The following is a 21,765-nucleotide window of genomic DNA, read 5'->3' on the forward strand; positions in this document are numbered from 1 at the left end:
CTGACCCGCCTCAGCCTCCCAAAGTGCTGGGAATACAGGCCTGAGCCACCACACCCGGTCTAAATTTTAATTGAAAAGTACAAGCTGACGTTGACTTGTGAAAATTTTTTCACCAATCTCTTTCCACTTCAGTGCAGTAAAAATAGATGCAACAAAAAGCAAATGAAAAGTATAATTCTTCTATTACCAAAAGCTAAGAAAATAAAAAAGGTCATTCTCAACTATACCTAAACCATATAACAAATAATAAAGTGTTATGTAGTAGAAAGATTACAGCCTTTACAGCCTACCACATCTGAGTGAGAATCCCATCTCTGCTAATTACTGGTAGTGTGATCTTGAAGAAGAAACACAAATAATCTTTCTTTTCCTTTTTCACTGTAGCTCTCAAATGTTAAGAACTTTTTTTTTGTTTTTGAGAAGTTTCGCTCTTGTTGCCCAGGCTGGAGTGCAATGACACAATCTTGGCTCACTGCAACCTCCACCTCCCGGATTCAAGAGATTCTCCTGCCTCAGCCTCCCGAGCAGCTGGGATTACAGGTGCCCACCAACACACCCAGCTAATTTTTTATATTTTTAGTAGAGACGGGGTTTCACCATGTTGGCCAGGCTGGTCTCGAACTCCTGACCTTTAGGTGATCCACCCACCTTGGCCTCCCAAAGTGCTGGGATTACAGGCATGAGCCACTGTGCCTGGCCTATCTTAAGGACTTTTAAGTATCTTTCTAAACATTAGTTTTTCTATCTATAAGATATAGACAAAAATACCTTATAAGGCTGGGCACAGTGGCTCTTGCCTGTAATCCCAGCAATTTGGGAGGACAAGACAGGAGGATAGCTTGAGCCCAGCAGTTCAAGACCAGCCTGAGCAACAAAGTGAGATCCCATCTCTACAAAAAAATTTAAAAATTAGACAGGCATGGTGGCGCATGTTTGTAGTCCCAGCTACACGGGAGGCTAAGATGGGAGGATCTCTTGAGCCCAAGAGGCCAAGGCTGCAGCGAGCCCTGATCGTGCCACTGGACTCCAGCCTGCGAAACAAAGCAAGATCCTATCTAAAAAAAAAAAAAAAATACCTTATAAGAGTAATGAGGATTTGAGATAATGTTTAGAAAGTACTTCAAGTAAAAAGAAAAGAAAGAATTCATGTACCTAATTTTACACCATCCTGAAACTCCATTAAAGCTACATTAAAGGGATTTTCTTAAAAGGCATAAACGCATAAGATATTGAGGAGGGACAACACCACAAAATACTGGAAGCTAGAGAATATATAGATAAATGGAAACGGACTCAGCAGACCTGAGGAAGCAAAATGCTAAACTGGTAGAAGAGAAAACCCATCCATTTTATACCACGGAATTCCCAAAGGGCTCAGGCTACTCCAGGCAGTTCCAGGACTGAGAGTGAAGACAGACTAAAATTAAGAGGTTGACATTCTATATAAGTAGTAGACCTCCAAATCACCTCCTGCATTCTGCACAACTAGAAGAATACCCTTCCCTCAGCAGAGAGAAGACTGGAGATTTATTGTCTGGAGGTGGTAAAATCATGCATCTGAATTAAGGGACAACCAGGTATATCTGGAGCACCATTCTGAAAGTAGGAGAATTAAGTAAACGATTATACTGCAGGCTGATATCTACCAGCCCTTAACCCTCACTCTTTAACTTTGTTTATGGGTTTCTGTATAGGTCTTCCCTCTCCAGGCCAGACAATAATCTTTAGAACTCTGATCAGCCCAAGAGTTTCCCAAAGACCCACTTATGCATTAGAGGTTCTAATATGCTTTTTCATTTCCTAGTCTTAAATATGAACAATCGGCCAGACGTGGTGGCTCACACCTGTAATCCCAGCACTTTGGGAGGCCAAGGCAGGCAGATCACCTGAGGTCAGGAGTTCGAGACCAGCCTGACCAACATGGAGAAACCCCATCTCCACTAAAAATACAAAACTTAGCTGAGGGTGGTGGCACATGCCTATAATCCCAGCTACTCGGGAGGCTAACACAGGACAATCACTTGAACCCGGGAGGCAGAGGTTGCGGTGAGCCGAGATCACACCATTGCACCATGGGCAACAAGAGCAAAACTCTGTCTCAAAAATTATATTTATATATGTATATGAACAATTAATATTGGCTGGGTGTGGTGGCTCACACCTGTAGTTACAGCACTCTGGGAGGCAAAGGCAGGAGGATCACCTTAGGCCAGGAGTTCAAAATCAGCCTGGGCAACAAAAGTGAGACCCCATCCCTACAAAAAACTTTTAAAAATAAGCCAGGTGTGGTGGCCCACACTGGCCACTTGGGAGGCTGAGGTGGAAGGATCTGTTGACCCCAGAAGTTCAAAGCTGCAATGAGTTATGACTGTACCACTGAGTTTGCCCCGAGCAACAGAGAGAGCCCCCATCTCTAAATAAATAAATAAATAGAAATTTAAAAATAATAATAAATATTAAGTATCTGAGAAAAGCTTCTAACTTTAAAAATAGAGACCCAAAAAAGGCAGGGAAAAAAAGCAGCTTAGAGAAAAGAAGCAATACAAATAATAAAATCTCTTCAAAATCAGTATGACTAATATCAAAGAAATTATGCTATAATGAACCAATAGACACTACAAAGAAGAAACATTCAGAGAGCCAAAAAAGCACTCTTAGAAATTAAAGACTGAATAGGAATTGAAGATAAAGTTAAAGACAAATCCTAAAAGGCAGAATGATTTCTTTTTTTTTTTTTTTTTTTTTTTTTTTTTTTTTTTTTTCTGAGATGCAGTCCCGCTCTGTAGCCCAGGCTGGAGTGCAGTGGCGCAATCTCGGCTCACTGCAAGCTCTGCCTCCCAGGTTCACGCCATTCTCCTGCCTCAGCCTACAGGACTGCAGGCGCCCGCCACCATGACCGGCTAATATTTTTTTGTATTTTTTTTAGTAGAGACGGGGTTTCACCGTGTTAGCCAGGATGGTCTCGATCTCCTGACCTCAGGTGATCCACCTGCCTCAGCCTCCCAAAGTGCTGGGATTACAGGCGTGAGCCAGTGTGCCTGGCCATTTTGCTCCTTCAGAATGGGTATGTGTGAAGTAAATTCTTTTTGAGACTGGGTATTTCTGAAAATATCTTTGTCCTACTTTGACATCTGATTGATAGTTTGATGGGGTATGGAATTCTAAGTTGGAAATAATTTCCTTTCAGGACTTTGAAGGTGTTGCTTCATTGTCTTCTAACTTCCAGTGTTGTCAGGAAGTCTGACATTCTGATTCCTGGTCCTTTGTGTGGCCTATTTGTTTTTAATATAGAAACTCGTAGGATTAGTTTTTTATCCCTAGGGTTTTGAAATTTCTGGATGATATGCCTTAGCCTGAGTCTCTTTTTGACTATTGTCCTAGGCATTCAGTAAGCCCTTTGAACCTGGAAACTCATGTCTCTCAGTTCTAGGAAATTTTCCTGAATAAATTTGTTGGTAATGTTTTCTTCTTGGGTGTTCTGTCTAAAACCTCCTTTTATTTGGAATTGGACTTTTTGAAATGATTGTCGTATTTTCTTATCCTTTCCTCTTTTCCTTCCCCTCAATCTTGTTCTACTTTTTAGAAAACAGCTTTATTGAGATGTAATATACATACCATAAGATTTACCCAAAGTGTACAATTGAGTGGTTTTTAGTGTATATACAGAGTTATGCAACCACCAACACAACAGAATTTTAGAACCTGTTCAGCACTCTAAAAATAACTTGCTCATTCTAAGACCAGGTACAGTGGCTCACCCCTGTAAACCCAGTGGTTTGAGAGACTGAGGTGGGAGGACTGTTTCAGGCCATGAGTTTCAGACTAGCCTGGGCAACACAGCGAAACACTGTCTCTTAAAAAAAAAAAATTCTCCAGGGGTAGTGGAACGTGCCTTAGTCCCAGCTATTTGGGAGGTTCAAGGAGAAGGATCACTTCAACCCAGGAGTTCAAGATTACAGTGAGCTATGATTGTGCCATAGCACTACAGCCTGGGTGAAAGAGCTTAAAAAAAAAAAAAAAAAAAAAACAGAGGCTGGGCACGGTGGCTCACGCCTGTAATCCCAGCACTTTGGGAGGCCGAGGCGGGTGGATCGCGAGGTCAGGAGATCGAGACCATCGTGGCTAACATGGTGAAACCCCGTCTCTACTAAAAATACAAAAATTAGCCGGGCGTGGTGGCAGGCTCCTGTAGTCCCAGCTACTCGGGAGGCTGAGGCAGGAGAATGGCGTGAACCTGGGAGGTGGAGCTTGCAGTGAGCCAAGATATCGCACCACTGCACTCCAGCCTGGGCGACAAAGCTAGACTCCGTCTCAAAAAAGGAAAAAAAAAAAAAAAAAAAGAAAGAAAGGATAGGTTTTCTTTTTAATTTTTTTTTTTTTAAACAAAGACAGGAGTCGCACTATGTTGCCCCAGCTGGCCTCGAACTCATAGCCTCAAGCAACCCTCCCGCCTCAGCCTCCTGAGTAGCTGGGACTACAGGTGTGAGCCACCACGCCTGGGTAATATGATGATATGAGATATAAGAAACAGAAGATCCAACAAAGGAGAGATGAAGCAAGTCTCCAAAATGATGGTGAAGGTCAATCCCAGGATGAGAGCTTTATACTACCAGGTATACCTGGTAACCATTCCAGACCAAAATGCTCCTGAAGAAATCTCCTCAAGAAGATGAAACTCACAGACTGTCTAATGAGTCAAAACATCTGGAGAGAAGATTTAGGCTGGCAGAGAGTTTGAGGTTACATGAATGGTACATATAACACCAAGAAAGTTAAAAGCAAAAAACAAAAACACAGGATAAATATTAATCCAAAAAAAAAAAAACAAGTTTTACAAGGAAGTAAAAAATAATCATATACTGCATGGTTGAGTTCTCAGTAGTGCTTACATAATCATAACAACTATATATTGATCTAATCTAAATTATAACCATACTAGGAGAATGAGAGGATAGGAAGGACATGTATGGATGTGTTTAGGACAGGGAGAAAAAAGACAGAGAACTAATTTCTCATCTTTCATACTGGGAACTCAATAAAAAATACCTAAAAGCAAAAATCAAGAGGTATCAAATACAAACATATTATTACAGATGTAGCAGTAAAACACAAAATAAACAGCTAAAAGAATTGAAAGACACTGCTTCTAAGAAAGATAAAATAGGAAGGAGAGAAGGAAGGACTGCTATTTGCCTTAACAAATCCTGAAGAACTATTTCGACTTATTTAAACAATGTACATATATAAGATAAATAAAATGAATCAGATGCTACTGATATCCTTATTTTAAAAAAATACAAATAAGCTGGGCCAGTGGCATACACCTGCAGTCCCAGCTACTTGGGAGGCTGAGTCAGGAGGATTATTTGAGGCCAGGAGTTCAAGGCTGCACTGTGCTATGATCATACCCATGAACAGCCACTGTACTCCAGCCTGGGCAACAAAGCTAGACCCCTTCTCTTAAAAATTGGAAAAAACAAAACAAAACTACGACTGTCCATACCTAGACCAGCTTTTGTAGAAAACTCTTATCTAATGCTATACAATTTTATTGAGTAAATAAAAGTAAACCTTGAGAAAATGGAGCAACTTATATAGTTAGGTACCTGACAAGTGTAGAAAAGGCCAGTAGCATACAAAAGGAAAGTGAAACAAAGCGAACCCCAGCTGGCGTAGCAGGAGGACGGCTCGTCATCAACTGCAGTAATTGCTCAGCTTCTTCTTCAGTTGGTCTAAAAAGGAATACATCATTAGGCTTTACATTTTTAGTTGGGATGAAGAAGAAAAAGTGAATTTTTAACCTTTTAGTTACAAATTTTAAACTTTATAATGGTATCTTGCTATTTATAAAATCTTTAACATCTCAAGTTGCCAAATGCAAAACTGTTGAGAAATTACAACTACAGTGTTTTACTGTGGACACAAATACAGGCAGGTCCTCCCTTTGCCCTGTAGTGTGAGACCATAAAAATGACCATGCAAGCTGAAATCATGCAACACAATCTTAATAATCAATGGTGAAAAGTATGGTTGTACTGTAGCCTTTAAAATTTTTGTCAAAACATTAAAAACTCTGTTGATTATAATGCATAATTTTTTTTTTTTTTTTTTGAGACAAGGTCTTGCTCCATCGCCCAGGCTGGAGTGTAGTGGCAGGATCAGAGCTCACTTCAGCTTTGACCTTCCAGGCTCAGGTAATCCTCCCACGTCAGTCCTCATGTAGCTAGGACCACAGGTATGCGCCACCATGCCCAGCTTATTTTTTTTAGTAGAGACAGGGTTTTGCCACGTTCCCCAGGCTGGTCTCAGACTCCTGGGCTCAAAAAATCCACCTCCCTTGGTCTCCTAAAATGCTGGGATTACAGGTGTAAGTCACTGTACCCAGCCAGGAATTTTTTTTTTTAAATGGTAAAACTAATATTTTTATAGTACTCTAATTGAAAATATTAGAAACATTGGGAATTAAACTGTTTTCTTTCTTTCTTTTTTTTGAGACAGAGTCTCACCCTGTCGCCCAGGCGGGAGCGCAGTGGCACAATCTCGGCTCACTGCAAACTCTACCTCCTAAGTTCAAGCAATTCTCCTGCCTCAGACTCCTGAGTAGCTGGGACTACAGGCACACGCCATCATTCCCAGCTAATTTTTGTATTTTTAGTAGAGAGAGGGTTTCACCATCTTGAATAGGTTGTCCTCGAACTCCTGACCTCACTGATCCACAAGCCTTGGCCTCCCAGAGCGCTCGGATTATGGGCGTGAGCCACTGTGCCCGGTCTTAAAGTTTTTTTATTTCTTCGTAAAGACTTTATCAAGAGTAGTTTAAACAGCCTTTGCCTCCTTTTTTTTATGTTTTTTGTTTTTGTAGAGATGGAGTTTCACTCTTATTGCCCAGGCCGGACTGCAATGGTGCAATCTTAGCTCACCGCAACCTCCACCTCCTGGGTTCCAGTGATTCTCCTGCCTCAGCCTCCCAAGTAGCTGGGATTACAGGCATGTGCCACCACACCCAGCTAATTTTGTATTTTTAGTAGAGACAGGGTTTCTCCATGTTGGTCAGGCTGGTCTCGAACTCCCAACCTCAGGTGATCTGTCCACCTTGGCCCCCCAAAGTGCTGGGATTACAGGCGTGAGCCACCGCGCCTGGCCTATGCTTTCATCTTTATTGGCCAACTGTCTCTTCCAATTATCTGTTTTTGGAATATAATGTTCCAAAAACTGTTTCCATGTTTTGGAACATGAGTTCATTATGGAGAGAAAGGAAGCAATACAGGTTGAGTAACCCCAATCCAAAAAACCTAAAATCTGAAATGCCCCCAAACTCCAAAACATTCTGAGTGCCAATATGAGGTAATGAGCTCAAAGGAAATGCTCATTGGAGCATTAAGGATTTTGAATTTCTGTTAGGGATGCTAAATCGGTAAATATAAACATTCCAAAATCCGAAAAGTTCTAAAATCCCAAACGCTTCTGGTCTCAAGCATTTCAGATAAGGGATATTCAACCTTTACAACTACCTCCTCTGCTATATGTACATGAATCAAATAACAGGTGTGCAGTAACCAGCTACCGACAGACTTTGAAAGAAGTGAGGCCATTGGTCACTAACCATGATGTACATCTGTTATTTACTTAGTGATCTGTGTCCTGAGGAGCTCACAAACTCTATACAATTAACTGGTTAATGTATCATGGCAACTGAAATGGCAACTGTGTTGAGAGACCAGCATTATTTAAATAAACTGGCGTAACTGAAACTCATGCATATTGGAGACATGCAAATGAGGACTGTATGTACAATTATTAAGAACACTATTCAAAAGGATTTTGTATGGTGACTAAGAAACATTGTACTGGCCAGGCACAGTGGCTCATGCCTGTAATCCCAGCACTTTGGGAGGCTGAGGCAGGCAGAACACCTGAGGTAAGGAGTTCAAGACAAGCCTGGCCAACATGGTGAAACCCCGTCTCTACTAAAAATACAAAAAAAAAAAAAAAAAAATTAGCCGGGTGTGGTGAGGCAGGAGAATCGCTTGAATCCGGGAGGCAGAGGTTACAGTGAGCCGAGATCACACCACTGCACTCCAGCCTGGGCGACAGACGGAGATTCCATCTCAAAAAAAAAAAAAAAAAAAAACATTGTACTTATTAATCACATCATATTAATTTTAAACAATTATGATATCAGCTGTAAAAGGAAACAAAGGAGAGATTTACTTCAACTAGTCAATGGTAAAAGATCACTCACAGATCATTCACTATAGTTTTGTCAAGCTGTGTTGAAATCACAGGTTTCTTTAAACTGTGATTGGAAATTGATAAACTGCTCTGGCTCCTCCCATATTTATATAGTTCTGTTTACAATCAGAACAAAATAGATGAATACATCTCTGCTAGAAATTCTTGGCCTTAGGATTTCATTCTTCTTACAGGCCAGCCCACTACCTGAGTCCAACAGAAAACTTTAATCCTCTGAATAAAAGGCCTTTGGCTCACTTTCTTGAGAATAGAAACAAGAAGGTAAAATGACAAAAAGGTAAAATATCAAACTATTGAATACTTGAGTCCAGCGATCCCCATCAAAGCACAGTACAGACGTAAGAGTGCACTGGCTTTCACAACATGCTCTTCTTTCAGCCCCGAATACACAGACACATTGGGCTCCATATCCACATCAGCTTCTTCCACAATTCGGGTGCTTCTTACTGTGGGAAGAATGCCCATCAACTCCAGAAGAAGCTGCCTTCTCATCTGCCAAAGGACAGAACTGCTGGTCTCTCTTTTTCTCTGAAAGAAATATGGATCACAAAAGGAAGAAAGCATGAAGCATTTACTAAACTAAAAGGGAGCTAAAACATAGCACCCCACTTAAACACTTTCAAATTGGCCTATTTGAAGAGATTGTCGTGACTACAGAATCTCATTTTAACCAATCAAGCAAACTCAAAATCCACTAGTTTGTCTGAAGAATGAATATTCACCATAATTTGGATTGGTTGCAGAGGAAAGACTAAATTAGTGACAATTTGAATTGTGGAATATTATTTCAATGGTACTTTCAAATACATAAAGACTAACAAAGTGATATGTGGTATAGGAGAAAATGCTCAGATTTTGAAGACGTAAGTTCTTGGGGTTTAAATGCCAGCTCTACTATTAGACGATTATATACCTTTAGGCACATTGGTTAGCCTCTCTGAACCCCAATTTCCTTAATGACAAGGAAATATTTTATCAACAATATTTACCTTATAGAACTCCTATAATTAAGAGTTTACAATTCTTGGCCTGATGCAGTGGTTCACGCCTGTAATCCCAGCACTTTGGGAGGCCAAGGCGGACGGATCACTTGAGGTCAGGAGTTCGAGACCAGCCTGGCCAACATGGTGAAACCCCATCTCTACTAAAAATATAAAAATTAGCTGGGTGTGGTGGTGCATGCCTGTAATCCCAGCTACTTGGGAGGCTGAAGCACAAGAATCGCTTGAACCCAGGAGGCGGAGGTTACAATGAGTCAAGATGGCGCCACTGCACTCCAGCCTGGGCAACAGAGTGATACTCTCGTCTCAAAAAAAACAAAAGAGTTTACAATTCTATAACCACTACAGTTCTTCAGGCAGGGACAATGCCTTAGTCTTCTCTCACTCTGCACAGTCGAACATTGTGCCTAACATACAGCAAGCACTCAAAGTCTGTTAAGTAGATGAATGAACAGAGATAATACATGTATGAAAGCAGTTCTAAACTATACAGGGCTAGACAAATGTTAATTATTATCTTTTGAGTGTCTCTAAGTAAAATATGATAGACCTGCTTTAATAATAACAGTAAGTTCAAAGAATAAAGGTTTATTGAATACAAAAGACAACTACAAACAAGATGAGCATGCCAAGTGCTTAAGGCAGTACCTGACATATATGAAGCATCCAATAAATAAATGTTAACTTTGTTTTAAAAAGCAGAGCTTAAAATCAGTTTTCAAATGGGCTATAAAATAGAACTTGAATATTTTAAAAAACTATGATTCAGTAGCTTAAAAATAGACTACAGGATCTAAGCAGTATACATGTTGTCTAGCTAAGTGACCTCAACGAGTTAAATCGCAATCTGCATTAGCTCCTTCATAGGAACTCTATTCACATAGTTAATATAAATTAGTTTTTGAAAAATTAAAACATTTTGCAAGTTAAAAACTGTTGCAAAATACATATGCATAAGCAGGTGAACGTATAAAATAAAATGTGGTATATACACACAATGGAATATTATTTTTCTTTTTTTTTGAGACCGAGTCCTGCTCTGTCACCAGGCTGGAGTGCAGTGGCGTGATCTCGGCTCACTGCAACCTCTGCCTCCCATGTTCAAGCGATTCTCCTGCCTCAGCCTCCCGAGTAGCTGGGACTACAGGCACGCACATCACGCTCAGCTAATTTTTGTATTTTTAGTAGAGACAGGGTTTCACCATGTTGGCCAGGATGGTCTCCCTCTCTTGACCTTGTGATCCGCCCGCCTCAGCCTCCCAAAGTGCTGGGATTACAGGCGTAAGCCACCCCACCCAGCCCTTACTTCTTATTTTTATAGATTTAGGGGGTACAAGTGCAGTTTTGTTACATGAATCTATTGCATAGAAGTCTGGGCTGTTGGTGTAGTCATCACCCTGATAGTATACCCTGTACCCAATATAGGTAACTTCTCAACCCTCACCCCCTTCCCACCCTCCCAACATTTGGAGTCTATGATGTGTATTATCCCACTCGCTTATGTCCATGTGTACACATGATTAGCACCCACTCATAATTGAGAATATGCAATATTTGACTTTGTTTATGCGTTATTTCACTTAATATAATGGCCTCCAGTTCCATCCATGTTACTGTCAGACATGATTTTATTCTTTTTTATGGTTGAGTTGTATTCCATGGTGTGTGTGTTTGTGTGTGTGTATACATATATACGTGTGTGTGTACATGTGTGTATGTGTGTGTGTGTGTGTGTGTGTGTGTGTGTGTGTGTGCATATATCACATTTTCTTTAAGCAACCATCCGTTGATAGATGCTTAGGTTGATTCCATAACATTGCTACTGTGAATAGTGCTGAAATAAACATACAAGTGTAGGTACATTTTTTATATAATGATTTCTCTACCCAGCAGTAGGATTGCTGGACAGAATGGCAGTTCTACTCTAAGTTCACAATGGAATATTATTCAGCCTTTAAAAAGGAAATCCTGACACATGTTACAACATAGATGAACCTTGAAAACATTATGCTAAGTGAAATAAGCAACATACAAAAGGAGAAATATTGTATAATTCCATTTACTTCAGGTAGCCAGAAAGGGTAAATTCATACAGACAGAAAGTTGAATAGAGGTTACCAGAGGATGGGATGATAGGGGGAATGGGGAGTTATTTAATGGATACAGAGTTTCTGTTTGGGATGATGAAAAAGTTCTGGAAATGGGCCAGGCCCAGTGGTGGCTCACGCCTGTAATCCCAGTACTCTGGGAGGCCCAGGTGGGTGGATCACCTGATGTCAAGAGTTCTAGACCAGCCTGACCAACATGGCGAAACCCAGCCTCTACTCAAAATAAAAGTAGCCAAGTGTGGTGGTGGGCACCTGTAATCCCAACTACTCAGGAGGCTGAGGCAGGAGAATCCTCGAACCCAGGAGGTAGAGCTTGCAGTGAGCCGAGATTGCGCCATTGTACTCCAGCCTGGGTGACAGAGTGAGACGCCGTCTCAAAAAAAAAAAAAAAAAATAGTTCTGGAAACGAAGAGTGATAATGGTTGCACACTGTAAATATACTTAATGCCACTGAATTATATACTTAAAAATGATTAAATGGCAAAATTTTATGTTATGTATATTTTACCATAATAAAAACATATATACACATATGTATTAAAATTTAAAAATATAATAACTTATTTCAGTGATCTAATGCACCAGTTCTCATGAGTCTGGCCCAGAACCCTGGAGATATATGCTTTCAGGGGGTCTGGAAAGGTGTTAATAATACTCAAGACATTATCTGTCTTTTTCTTTCTCATTCACTCACAAGGGTACGGTGCAGTTTCCAAAGGCTTCTACCAAGCCAGACATTGAAGATATTTGAAAAAAATACAATAAAATAAAACTATCATTCTTCTCATTAAATTTTGTTTGGGAAAACACAGTTAGTTTTCATTTAAAATATGTTATGTTCACATTTAATAGGGTTATTGTTGTTTGGTTTTGGTTTTTTTTTAAGAGATGAGGTCTCGCTATGTTGCCCAGGCTAAAGTACAGTCGCTATTCACAGGCACAATTATCACACACTATACCCTAGAACCCCCTGGCTTAAGCAATCTTCCTGCTTCAGCCTCCTAAGTAGCTAGGACTATAGGCACATACCAACACACCAGCTGTTCCTATTTTTAAAAGAACTAAATAAATATTTCAAATATTTAAGTGTTAATTTCTAATATGGTAAATATCAACAGAAAAAAAGCCACATAAACAAAAGCTCTTTGGTATCCTTAGTGATTTTTTAAAATATAAGGAGGTCCCTGAAACTAGAAAGTGTGAGAACCACTTGTCTAATGACATCATTCAAAAAATGTTTCTTTCTCTTTTAGCAGCTGCTAAAGTATTCTGATCCTTAGCCTATACAGATATTTAACCCTCACCTGCTGTCCATTTCGGATAAAAGTTCCAAACCAAGTCCGGACTTTCGCATTTGTTCCAAGAAGCAAACCACTTACAAAACAAACCAAGTCACTCACTCCATCCTCACAAGCTTCATTTTTAGTATGATCCAATGTCAAAGCCACACCAAGGCCTGGCAAGTGACATTCTTCCACCTAGCACAGAAAAGAAAACAAACTGAATTCAGTATCATAAGCAAAAAGGCCAGTGATGCTTCCAAATCTAAAGTATCTAAAGTTTAGAGGAAGAACTCCTACAAAACATAAAAACCCAGAGAGGAAGGTAACATATCCAGTATATAAATAAAATTCCCCACCTCTACAGGACTCTAAAACCATCTTGAGAAGAGTTCTTGGACCTAATATAAAGGCCTTTGTCTAATAAAACACAGGATCACTTACCACCATGCCTCGGACCTTGAGGGCCTGAGAAGGATTCATTTTACACAAGAAGCGTAAGGCATCTGTCCTGCGCCTTCCTCCAAGACTTTCTTCATCTTGTCGTTCTCCATTTTTTATCAGGCCCCTACAAACTAACATGATAGAAACCATCTTCTTCAGCCTTCAGAATTAATTGTTCATGAAGATTTCACATGACAGAAGAAAAGGATCAGGGTATTTGAAAGCACAACAACAGAAATTGGCCAAAATGAAGCAAAAAATGAAAAGAGACTTAAAAAAGAATAGTAAACTCTGGGACAATATTACACATTCAAACACACTTGCAATTACGGTCCCAGAGAGACAAAGAAAGTACGAGACAAAAATACATTTGAGGGCCACGGACAGTGGCTCACACCTGTAATCCCAGAACTCTGGGAGGCCAAGGTGGGGGCGGGGGGGGGGGGGGTGCGGGGCATGGATCACCTGAGGTCAGGAGTTCGAGACTAGCCTGGCCAACATGGTGAAACCCCATCTCTACTAAAAATACAAAAATTAGCTGGGCGTGGTGGCAGGCACCTGTAATCCGAGCTACTCAGGACGCTGAGGCAGGAGAATCGCTTGAACTGGGAGGTGGAGGTTGCAGTGAGCCAAGATCGCATCATTACACTCCAGCCTGGGGCGACAAAAGCGAAACTCCTTCTCAAATAAATTAATTAATTAATTAATTTGAAGAAATTTTCCCAAGTTGAATGAAAACTCTAAACCCAGTTCAATGAGCCCTAAGTGGAACAAATGCAAAGAAAATCATACCAAGAAACATCATACGTCAACTTTCTGAAACCAGTAATAAAAAGAAAATCTTAAAAGTAACCAGGGCCGGGTGCAGTGGCTCACACCTGCAATCCCAGCACTTTGGGAGGCCGAGGTGAGTGGATCACTAGGTTAAGAGCTCGAGACCAGCCTGGCCAATATGGTGAAACCCTGTCTCTACTAAAAATACAAAAATTAGCTGGGTGTGGTAATGCGCACCTATAGTCCCAGCTGCTCAGGAGGCTGAGGCAGCAGAATCACTTGAACCCGGGAGGTGGAAGTTGCAGTGAGCCGAGATCACACCACTGCACTTCAGCCTGGGTGACACAGCAAGACTCCATCTCCAAAAAAGAGAAAAAGTAACTAGAGCAGAGGATAGGCGCATCACCTGAGGCCAGGAGTTCAAGATCAGCCTAGCCAACATAGTGAAACCCCATCTCTATTAAAAATACAAAAATTAGCCAGGCATGGGGGCACATGACTATAGTCCCAGCTACCCGGGAGGCTGAGGCAGGAGAACTGCTTTAACCCCAGGGGAGGCGGAGGTTGCCGTGAGCCGAGCTCATGCCACTGCACTCCAGCCTGGGTGACAGAGCAAGACTCCGTCTCCCAAAAAAAAAACAAAAAAAAAGGAGCCAGAAGAAATTAAAGAAAAAAAAAAAAAGTAGCCAGAGGGAAAAAGAAACTTTACAGAGGAACAAAGATAAAATTTACTGCAGAAAAGAGAATGACATCTTTGTTCTTTGTTTTCTTTTTTCCTAGAGATGGGATCTTGCTTTCTTGCTTTGCCACCATACTAGTCTCAAACTCCTGGCTTCAAACAATCCTCCCGTTTTGGCCTCCCAAAGTGCTGGGATTACAGGTGTGAGCCACATACCCAGCCAGAATGACATCTTTAAATAGCTAAAAGATGACGTCAACCTAAAATTTTATACCCTTTGAAAATATATTTTTCCAGACCAAAAAAGCCAGTAAAATTTGTTGCCAACAAACCCACCCTACAAAAAATAAGGAAAATTCTTCAAGTTAAGGGGAAATTATGCCAGATGGAAATATGGAACTACAGAAAGGAATTAAGAGCACCAAAAATGGTAAATGTGTGGATAAATAGTATTTTCCTCTATATTTTTAGTCTTTAAAATATAATTAACTGTTTAAAACAAAAGTAATAACAATTTGCTCTAAGGTTTATAATTCATGTAAAAGTAAAATCCATGACAACAATGGCACAAAGTACAAGAGGAAAAAGAAAATAAATAGAAAACAAATAACAAGAAGATTCAAACCTAACCACTATAATAATCACATTTAAATGGTCTATGTATACAGTCTAAACACTCCAATTAAAAGACAGAGACTGCCACTAGATTAAAAAAAATGAAGACCGAACTATACCTGTCCACAAGAAATCGACCTTAAGATATGGACAGATTAAAGAGATGAAGAAATATATACACCATGGAAAAACTAATTATAAGAAAGATGACATGGCTGTATTATTCAGACAAAGTAGACTTGAAAAGAAGGAATATTATCAGCAATAAAGAAGTCTATTTTGTCACGCCTGTAAATCCCAGCACTTTGGGAGATTGAGGCAAGCGGACCACTTTAGCCCAGGAGTCTGAGACAGCACGGGTAACATGGTGAAACCCCATATCCACAAAAATACAAAAAATTAGCTGGGCGCGCCAGGTGCAGTGGCTCACGCCTATAATCCCAGCACTTTGGGAGGCCACAGAGGGCGCATCACGAGGTCAGGAGATCCAGACCATCCTGGCTAACACGGTGAAACCGTGTTACTACTAAAAATACAAAAAAATTAGCCGGGCGTGGTGGTGGCGGGCGCCTGTAGTCCCAGCTACTCGGGAGGCTGAGGCGGGAGAATGGCGTGAACACAGGAGGCGGAGCTTGCAGTGAGCCGAGATTGCGCCACTGCATTCCAGCCTGGGCGACAGAGTGAGACTCCGTCTCAAAAAAAAAAAAAAAAAAAAAATTATCTGGGCCCAGTGGTATCGGCTGGTAGCCTCACTCACTCAAGAGGCTGAGGCAGAAGGATCACTCGAGCCTGGGAGATCAATGCTGCAGTGAATCATGACCACACCACTGCACTCCAGCATGCGTGACAGAGCGAGACACTATCTCAAAAAAAAAAAAAAAGCGTATTTTGGAGGTTAAAAATCTCTACAAAGAGGCCAAGGACAGTGGCTCATGTCTGTAATCCCAGCACTTTGGAAGGCCGAGGAGGACAGATCACTTGAGGTCAGGAGTTCAAGACCAGCCTGGCCAACATGGTGAAACTCCGTCTCTACTAAAAATACAAAAATTAGCCGGGCGCGGTGGCTCACGCCTATAATCCCAGCACTTTGGGAGGCCAAGGCAGGCGATTCACAAGGTCAGGAGATCAAGACCATCCTGGTTAACACAGTGAAACCCCGTCTCTACTAAAAACACAAAAAATTAGCCGGGCATGGTGGCAGGCGCCTGTAGTCCCAGCTACTCGGGAGGCTGAGACAGGAGAATCGCTTGAACTGGGGAGGCAGAGGTTGCAGTGAGCCGAGATCACTCCACTGCACTCCAGCCTGGGTGACAGAGCAAGACTCCGTCTCAAAAAAATAAATAAATAAATAAATAAATAAATAAATAAATAAGCCAGGTGTGGTGGCCCATGCCTGTAATCCCATGAACTTGGGAGGCTGATGCAGGAGAATCGCTTAAACCCAGGAGGTAGAGGTTGCAGTGCGCCGAGATTGCGCCACTGCACTCCAGCCTGTGAAACAGAGTGAAACTCTGTTTCAAAAAAAAAAAGTCCGGGCGCGGTGGCTCACGCCTGCAATCCCAGCACTTTGGGAGGCCGAGAAGGGTGGATAACTAGGTCAGGAGATCAAGACCATCCTGGCTAACACGGTGAAACCCTGTCTCTAATTAAAAAAAAAAAAAAAAATACAAAAAATTAGCCGGGCGTGGTGGCGGGTGCCTGTAGTCCCAGCTACTCGGGAGGCTGAGGCAGGAGAATGGCTGAACCCAGGAGGCAGAGCTTGCAGTGAGCCGAGATTGTGCCACTGGGCGACAGAGCAAGACTCTGTCTAAAAAAAAAAAAAAAAAAAAAAAATCATATAAGACACAAACAAATGGAAAAACATTCCAAGCTCATGGATTGGAAGAATCATTATCTTTAAAATGGCCATATTGCCCAAAGCAATCTACAGATTCAACACTCTTCATATCAAACTACCAACATGATTTTCCACAAAATTAGAAACTTTAGGATACTAAAGTTCACACAGCAAAAAAGAGCCTGAATAGCCAAAGCAATCCTAACAAAAAGAACAAAGCCAGAAGCATCACATTATCTAACTTCAAACTATACTACATGGCTACAGTAACCAAAATAACATGGCACTGGTATAAAAACAGACACACAGGCCAGGCACGGTGGCTCACACCTGTAATCCCAGCACTTTGGTAGGCTGAGGCGGGCAGACCACGAGGTCAGGAGATCGAGACCATCCTGGCTAACACAGTGAAACCCCATCTCTACTAAAAATACAAAAAATTAGCCAGGCATGGTAGTGGGTGCCTGTAGTCCCAGCTACTCAGGAGGCTGAGGCAGGAGAATGGCGTGAACCCAGCAGGCAGAGCTGCAGTGAGCCAAGGTCGCACCCCTGGACTCCAGTCTGGGTAACAGAGTAACAAAAAATTAATAAATAAAAATAAACAGACACACGGACCAATGCAACAGAATAGAAAACCCAGAAATAAAGCCACACACCTACAATCATCTGATCTTCAACAAAGTTGACAAAAATAAATGACAGGGAAAGGACTCCCTATTTAACAAATGGTGTTGGGATAGCTGGCTAGCCATATGCAGAAGAATGAAACTAGACCCTATCTTTTATCATATACAAAAATTAACTCAAGTTAGATTAAAGATTTAGATGTAAAACCTCAAACTATAAAAATCCTAGAAGAAACACTAGGAAATACTATTCTGGACACTGGCCTTGGCAAAGAATTTATAGCCAAGTCCTCAAAAGCAATTGCAATGAAAACAAAAATTGACAAGTGTGACCTATTTAAATTAAAGATATTCTGCACACAAAAGAAACTATCAACAGAGCAAACAATCTACAGAATGGGAGAAAATATTGACAAAAATGTATCTGACAAAGGCCTAATGTGCAGAATCTATAAGGACATAAACAATTCAACAAGCAAAAAACCACCCCATTAAAAGTGAGGAAAGAACACGAACAGATACTTCTCAAAAGAAGACATATAAGCAACCAAAAAACATGAAAAAAAATGCTCCATATCACTAATCATCAGAGAAACACAAATCAAAACAATCATGAAATGCCATCTCACACCAGTGAGAATGGCTATTAAAAAGTCAAAAAATAATAGGTGCTAGCGAGGCTGTGGAGAAAAGAGAACACTTACACATTGTTGGTGGGAATGTAAATTAGTTCAGCCACTGTGGAAAGCAGTTTGGAGATTTCTCAAAGAACTTAAAACAGAACTACCATTCGACCCAGCAGTCTCACTGCTGGATATATACTCAAAGGACAACAAATTGTTCTACCAAAGACACATGCGCTTGTATGTTCATCCCAATACTATTCACAATAGCAAAGACATGGAATCAACCTTGGTGCCCATCAACAGTGGATTAAATAAAATGTACATATATACCATGAAATACTATGCAGCCATTAAAAAGAATGAAATCATGTCCTTTGCCGCAACAAGGATAAAGCTGGAAGCCATCCCATCCTAGGCAAATTAACACAGAAACAGAAAACCAAATACCACATGTTCTCACTATAAGTGGGAGTTAAACATTGGGTACACATGGACATAAAGATGGGAACAATGGACACTGGGACTACCAGTGGGGAGGAAGAAAGGGGACAAGGGCTGAGAAACTACCTATTGGGTACTATGCTCATAACCTGGGTGACGGGATCATTCAAACTCCAAACCTCAGTGTCATACAATATACCCATGTAACAAACCTGCACATGTACCCCCCTGAATCTAAAATAAAACTTCGAATTTTTTTAAAAAGAAAAATTAAAACAAAGGTGACAACAAATTGAATAATATGTAAATAATGTTTAGAAAGGGGGATATAACTATAAATGTGAAAACTAAGAATAAAGAAATCAAATTTGACTTGGGGAAAAAAGTATATTTTATAATGAAAAAAAGGCTCAATTCATCATAAAGATATAATCATCCTAAATGCATATAAACCCAACAAAAGAGCTTTGAAATACATGAAGCAAAAACTGACAGAACAAAAAGAAGAAATAGGCAAATCCACAATTATGTCTGGAGACATCAAAACTCCTCTCTCAGTAATTGACAGAACAAGTTGACAAAAAATCGGCAAGGACACAGTTTACAAAGAGTTTTTACATATCATCTGATATTCAATAAATCTCTTAAAAAAGTCAGGGAACTATTACACTATCAATATCTCCATTTTACAGATGAGAAGTATTTTGGTTTGTTTGTTTGTTTAAGACAGAGTCTCACTCTGTTGCCCAGGCTGGAGTGCAGTGGCACATATCGGCTCGCTGCAACCTCCACCTCACAGATTGAAGCAATTCTCCTGTCTCAGCCTCCTGAGTAGCTGAGATTACAGGCATCCACCACCAAGCCCAGCTAATTTTTGTATTTTTAGTAGAGACGGGGTTTCACTATGTTGGCCAGGCTGGTCTCAAACTCCTGGCCTGAAATGATGCACCCACCTCGGCCTCCCCAAGTGCTGGGATTACAGGCATGAGCCACCGTGCCCAGCCAGATGAGAAGTATTTTGATAGAGCTCACACAATAAGTGAATGACAAAATCAGGAATTATAACTCCAGTACTTTTTCCTCCCAGGCTCCTAATTCACAAACTACCTTGCTCAACAAAATGTTTTTATTTTTATATCACTCATACCCAAACAACAACCTTCAATCACTGTAAGTTTTAAATAGAGGTGAAAAAATGTAGTCGATTTTTCTCAATTTCTACTTTATACTTCTCTGTAAACTGACAGCAGTAGGGCTAAAAAACAAAGGTCTGATTCCTAGCATTTCTCATTATACATATCCCGTATTGCTCTCTTGATATTTCACTGATACATGTATCTTCTTTGATCCCTGATTATAGATATTACATCTTCTAGTTCCTTGGGGTTTTTTTTTTTTTTTTTTTGAGACGGAGTCTCGCCCTGTCGCCCAGGCCGGAGTGCAGTGGTGCGATCTCGACTCACTGCAACCTCCACCTCCCAGGTTCAAGCGATTCTTCTGCCTCAGCCTCCCCAGTAGCTGGGACTACAGGCACCCACCACCACATCCAGCTAATTTTTGTATTTTTAGTAGAGATGGGGTTTCACCATAGTGGCCAGGCTGGTCTCAAACTTCTGACCTTGTGATCTGCCCGCCTCGGCCTCCCAAAGTGCTGGGATTACAGGTGTGAGCCACTGCGCCCAGCCTGATCTTTAAACTCAATACAATTTGTGAACTCAATATTTCTTTATACATACTAACAAACTTTCAAAAGATAAAATCTCAAATAAAATCCCATTAATGTTTCTTCTTAGGTCAAAAAGATAGGTCCTGTACATGTCCAAGCAAGTCTTTTCAATATACCATATTAGAATCATATTTACCTTCATTAAAACTATCAGGAACATTGGCCACCAAGAGACACAAGAACCAGGCACCATTTCTAACATGTAGCAAAGCTTCAGCTACATCAACTATAGGGAGCAAGGAAGGGAGCTCTACAAGAAAACAAAGTCAGTGTTAGTCTTTGTTAACAGGTGCACTCCACCACACCCAGCTAATTTTTTTTATTTTCTGTGGAGACTGAATCTCACTGTGTTGCCCAGGTGGGTCTCAAACTTTGGCCTCAAGTGATCCTCCAGCCTCAGCCTCCCAAAGTGCTAAGATTACAGGCATAAGCCACCATGCCTGGACCCAGTGTTAAAGAGTGATATTTCTTTTTTTCTTCTTTAAGACAGGGTCTTGCTTTGTTGCCCAGGCTACAGTGCAGTGGTGTGATTATAGCTCACTGCAGCCTCAACCTCCTGGGCTCAAGCAATCCTCCTGCCTCAGCCTCCTAAACTCCTAGAATTACAGGCATGAGCCACCATGCCCAACCAAAAATGACATTTCATTGTATTATTAAATATCTTTTGACATTTCACAAATGTCATCTAAAATAAAGTACTTTCTTTTCATAGTCTAGAACCAAGCTGTCCAGTAGGATACCCACTAGCAACATAAGGATACTTATATTAAAAACAGTTCAGTTCCTCAATCACACTAGCCACATTTCAAGTAATCCACAGCCACAAAGAACACTGGACAGCATAGCATAGAACAGTACAGGAAATTTTATTTTATAGAACTGGTCTAAAGAGTTATTTTCACGAAAATCTTATTTGCTTTTTTTTTTTTTTTTTTGCGACGAAGTCTCGCTTTTGTCCCCCAGGCTGGAATGCAATGGCGCAATCTCAGCTCACCGCAACCTCCGCCTCCAGAGTTCAAGCGATTCTCCTGCCTCAGCCGCCCGAATACCTGGGATTACAGAAGCCTGCCACCACACCAGGCTAATTTTTGTATTTTTAGTAGAGACAGGGTTTCACCATGTTGACCTGGCTGGTCTCCAACTCCTGACCTCAGGTGATCCACCCACCTCGGCCTCCCAAAATGCTGGGATTACAGGCGTGAGCCACCGTGCCTGGCCTATACTTTTTTTTTTTTTTTTTTTTTTTAAGAAAAGGTCTGCAGCCAGGCACAGTGGCTTATGCCTATAATCCCAGCATTTTGGGAAGCTGAGGCAGGCAGATCACAAGGTTAAGAATTCGAGACCAGCCTGGCCAA

At 41.0% G+C, this 21,765-nt stretch overlaps 1 protein-coding gene across 4 annotated transcripts in view, besides 1 other annotated feature; it reads right to left on the minus strand.

Annotated features, from left to right (window-relative positions):
* INTS2 (integrator complex subunit 2) overlaps nt 1-21,765 on the minus strand; it is a 62,616-nt gene that overhangs the window by 33,487 nt on the left and 7,364 nt on the right. For all 4 annotated transcript variants that reach the window (XR_934509.3, NM_020748.4, NM_001330417.2 and 1 more), the window contains exons 5-9: nt 20,547-20,660; nt 13,087-13,217; nt 12,667-12,840; nt 8,555-8,781; nt 5,607-5,732 (exon numbers count right to left, since the gene is read on the minus strand). Coding sequence is in view for 3 of the 4 variants with exons in the window: in NM_020748.4 (NP_065799.2) it covers nt 5,607-5,732; nt 8,555-8,781; nt 12,667-12,840; nt 13,087-13,217; nt 20,547-20,660 (772 nt within the window). In the remaining variant the exon portion in view is untranslated. The remainder of the gene's footprint in view (nt 1-5,606; nt 5,733-8,554; nt 8,782-12,666; nt 12,841-13,086; nt 13,218-20,546; nt 20,661-21,765) is intronic.
* Nucleotides 5,464-5,773: an enhancer, noted in NCBI's record as "active region_12536". NCBI's record gives its function as "activates an Ori minimal core promoter by ATAC-STARR-seq in GM12878 lymphoblastoid cells {active_cell/tissue: GM12878}" and the evidence as "EXISTENCE:reporter gene assay evidence [ECO:0000049][PMID:35858748]".

Source organism: Homo sapiens, chromosome 17, assembly GCF_000001405.40.
Source record: "Homo sapiens chromosome 17, GRCh38.p14 Primary Assembly".
NCBI classification, from domain to species: Eukaryota; Metazoa; Chordata; class Mammalia; order Primates; family Hominidae; genus Homo; species Homo sapiens.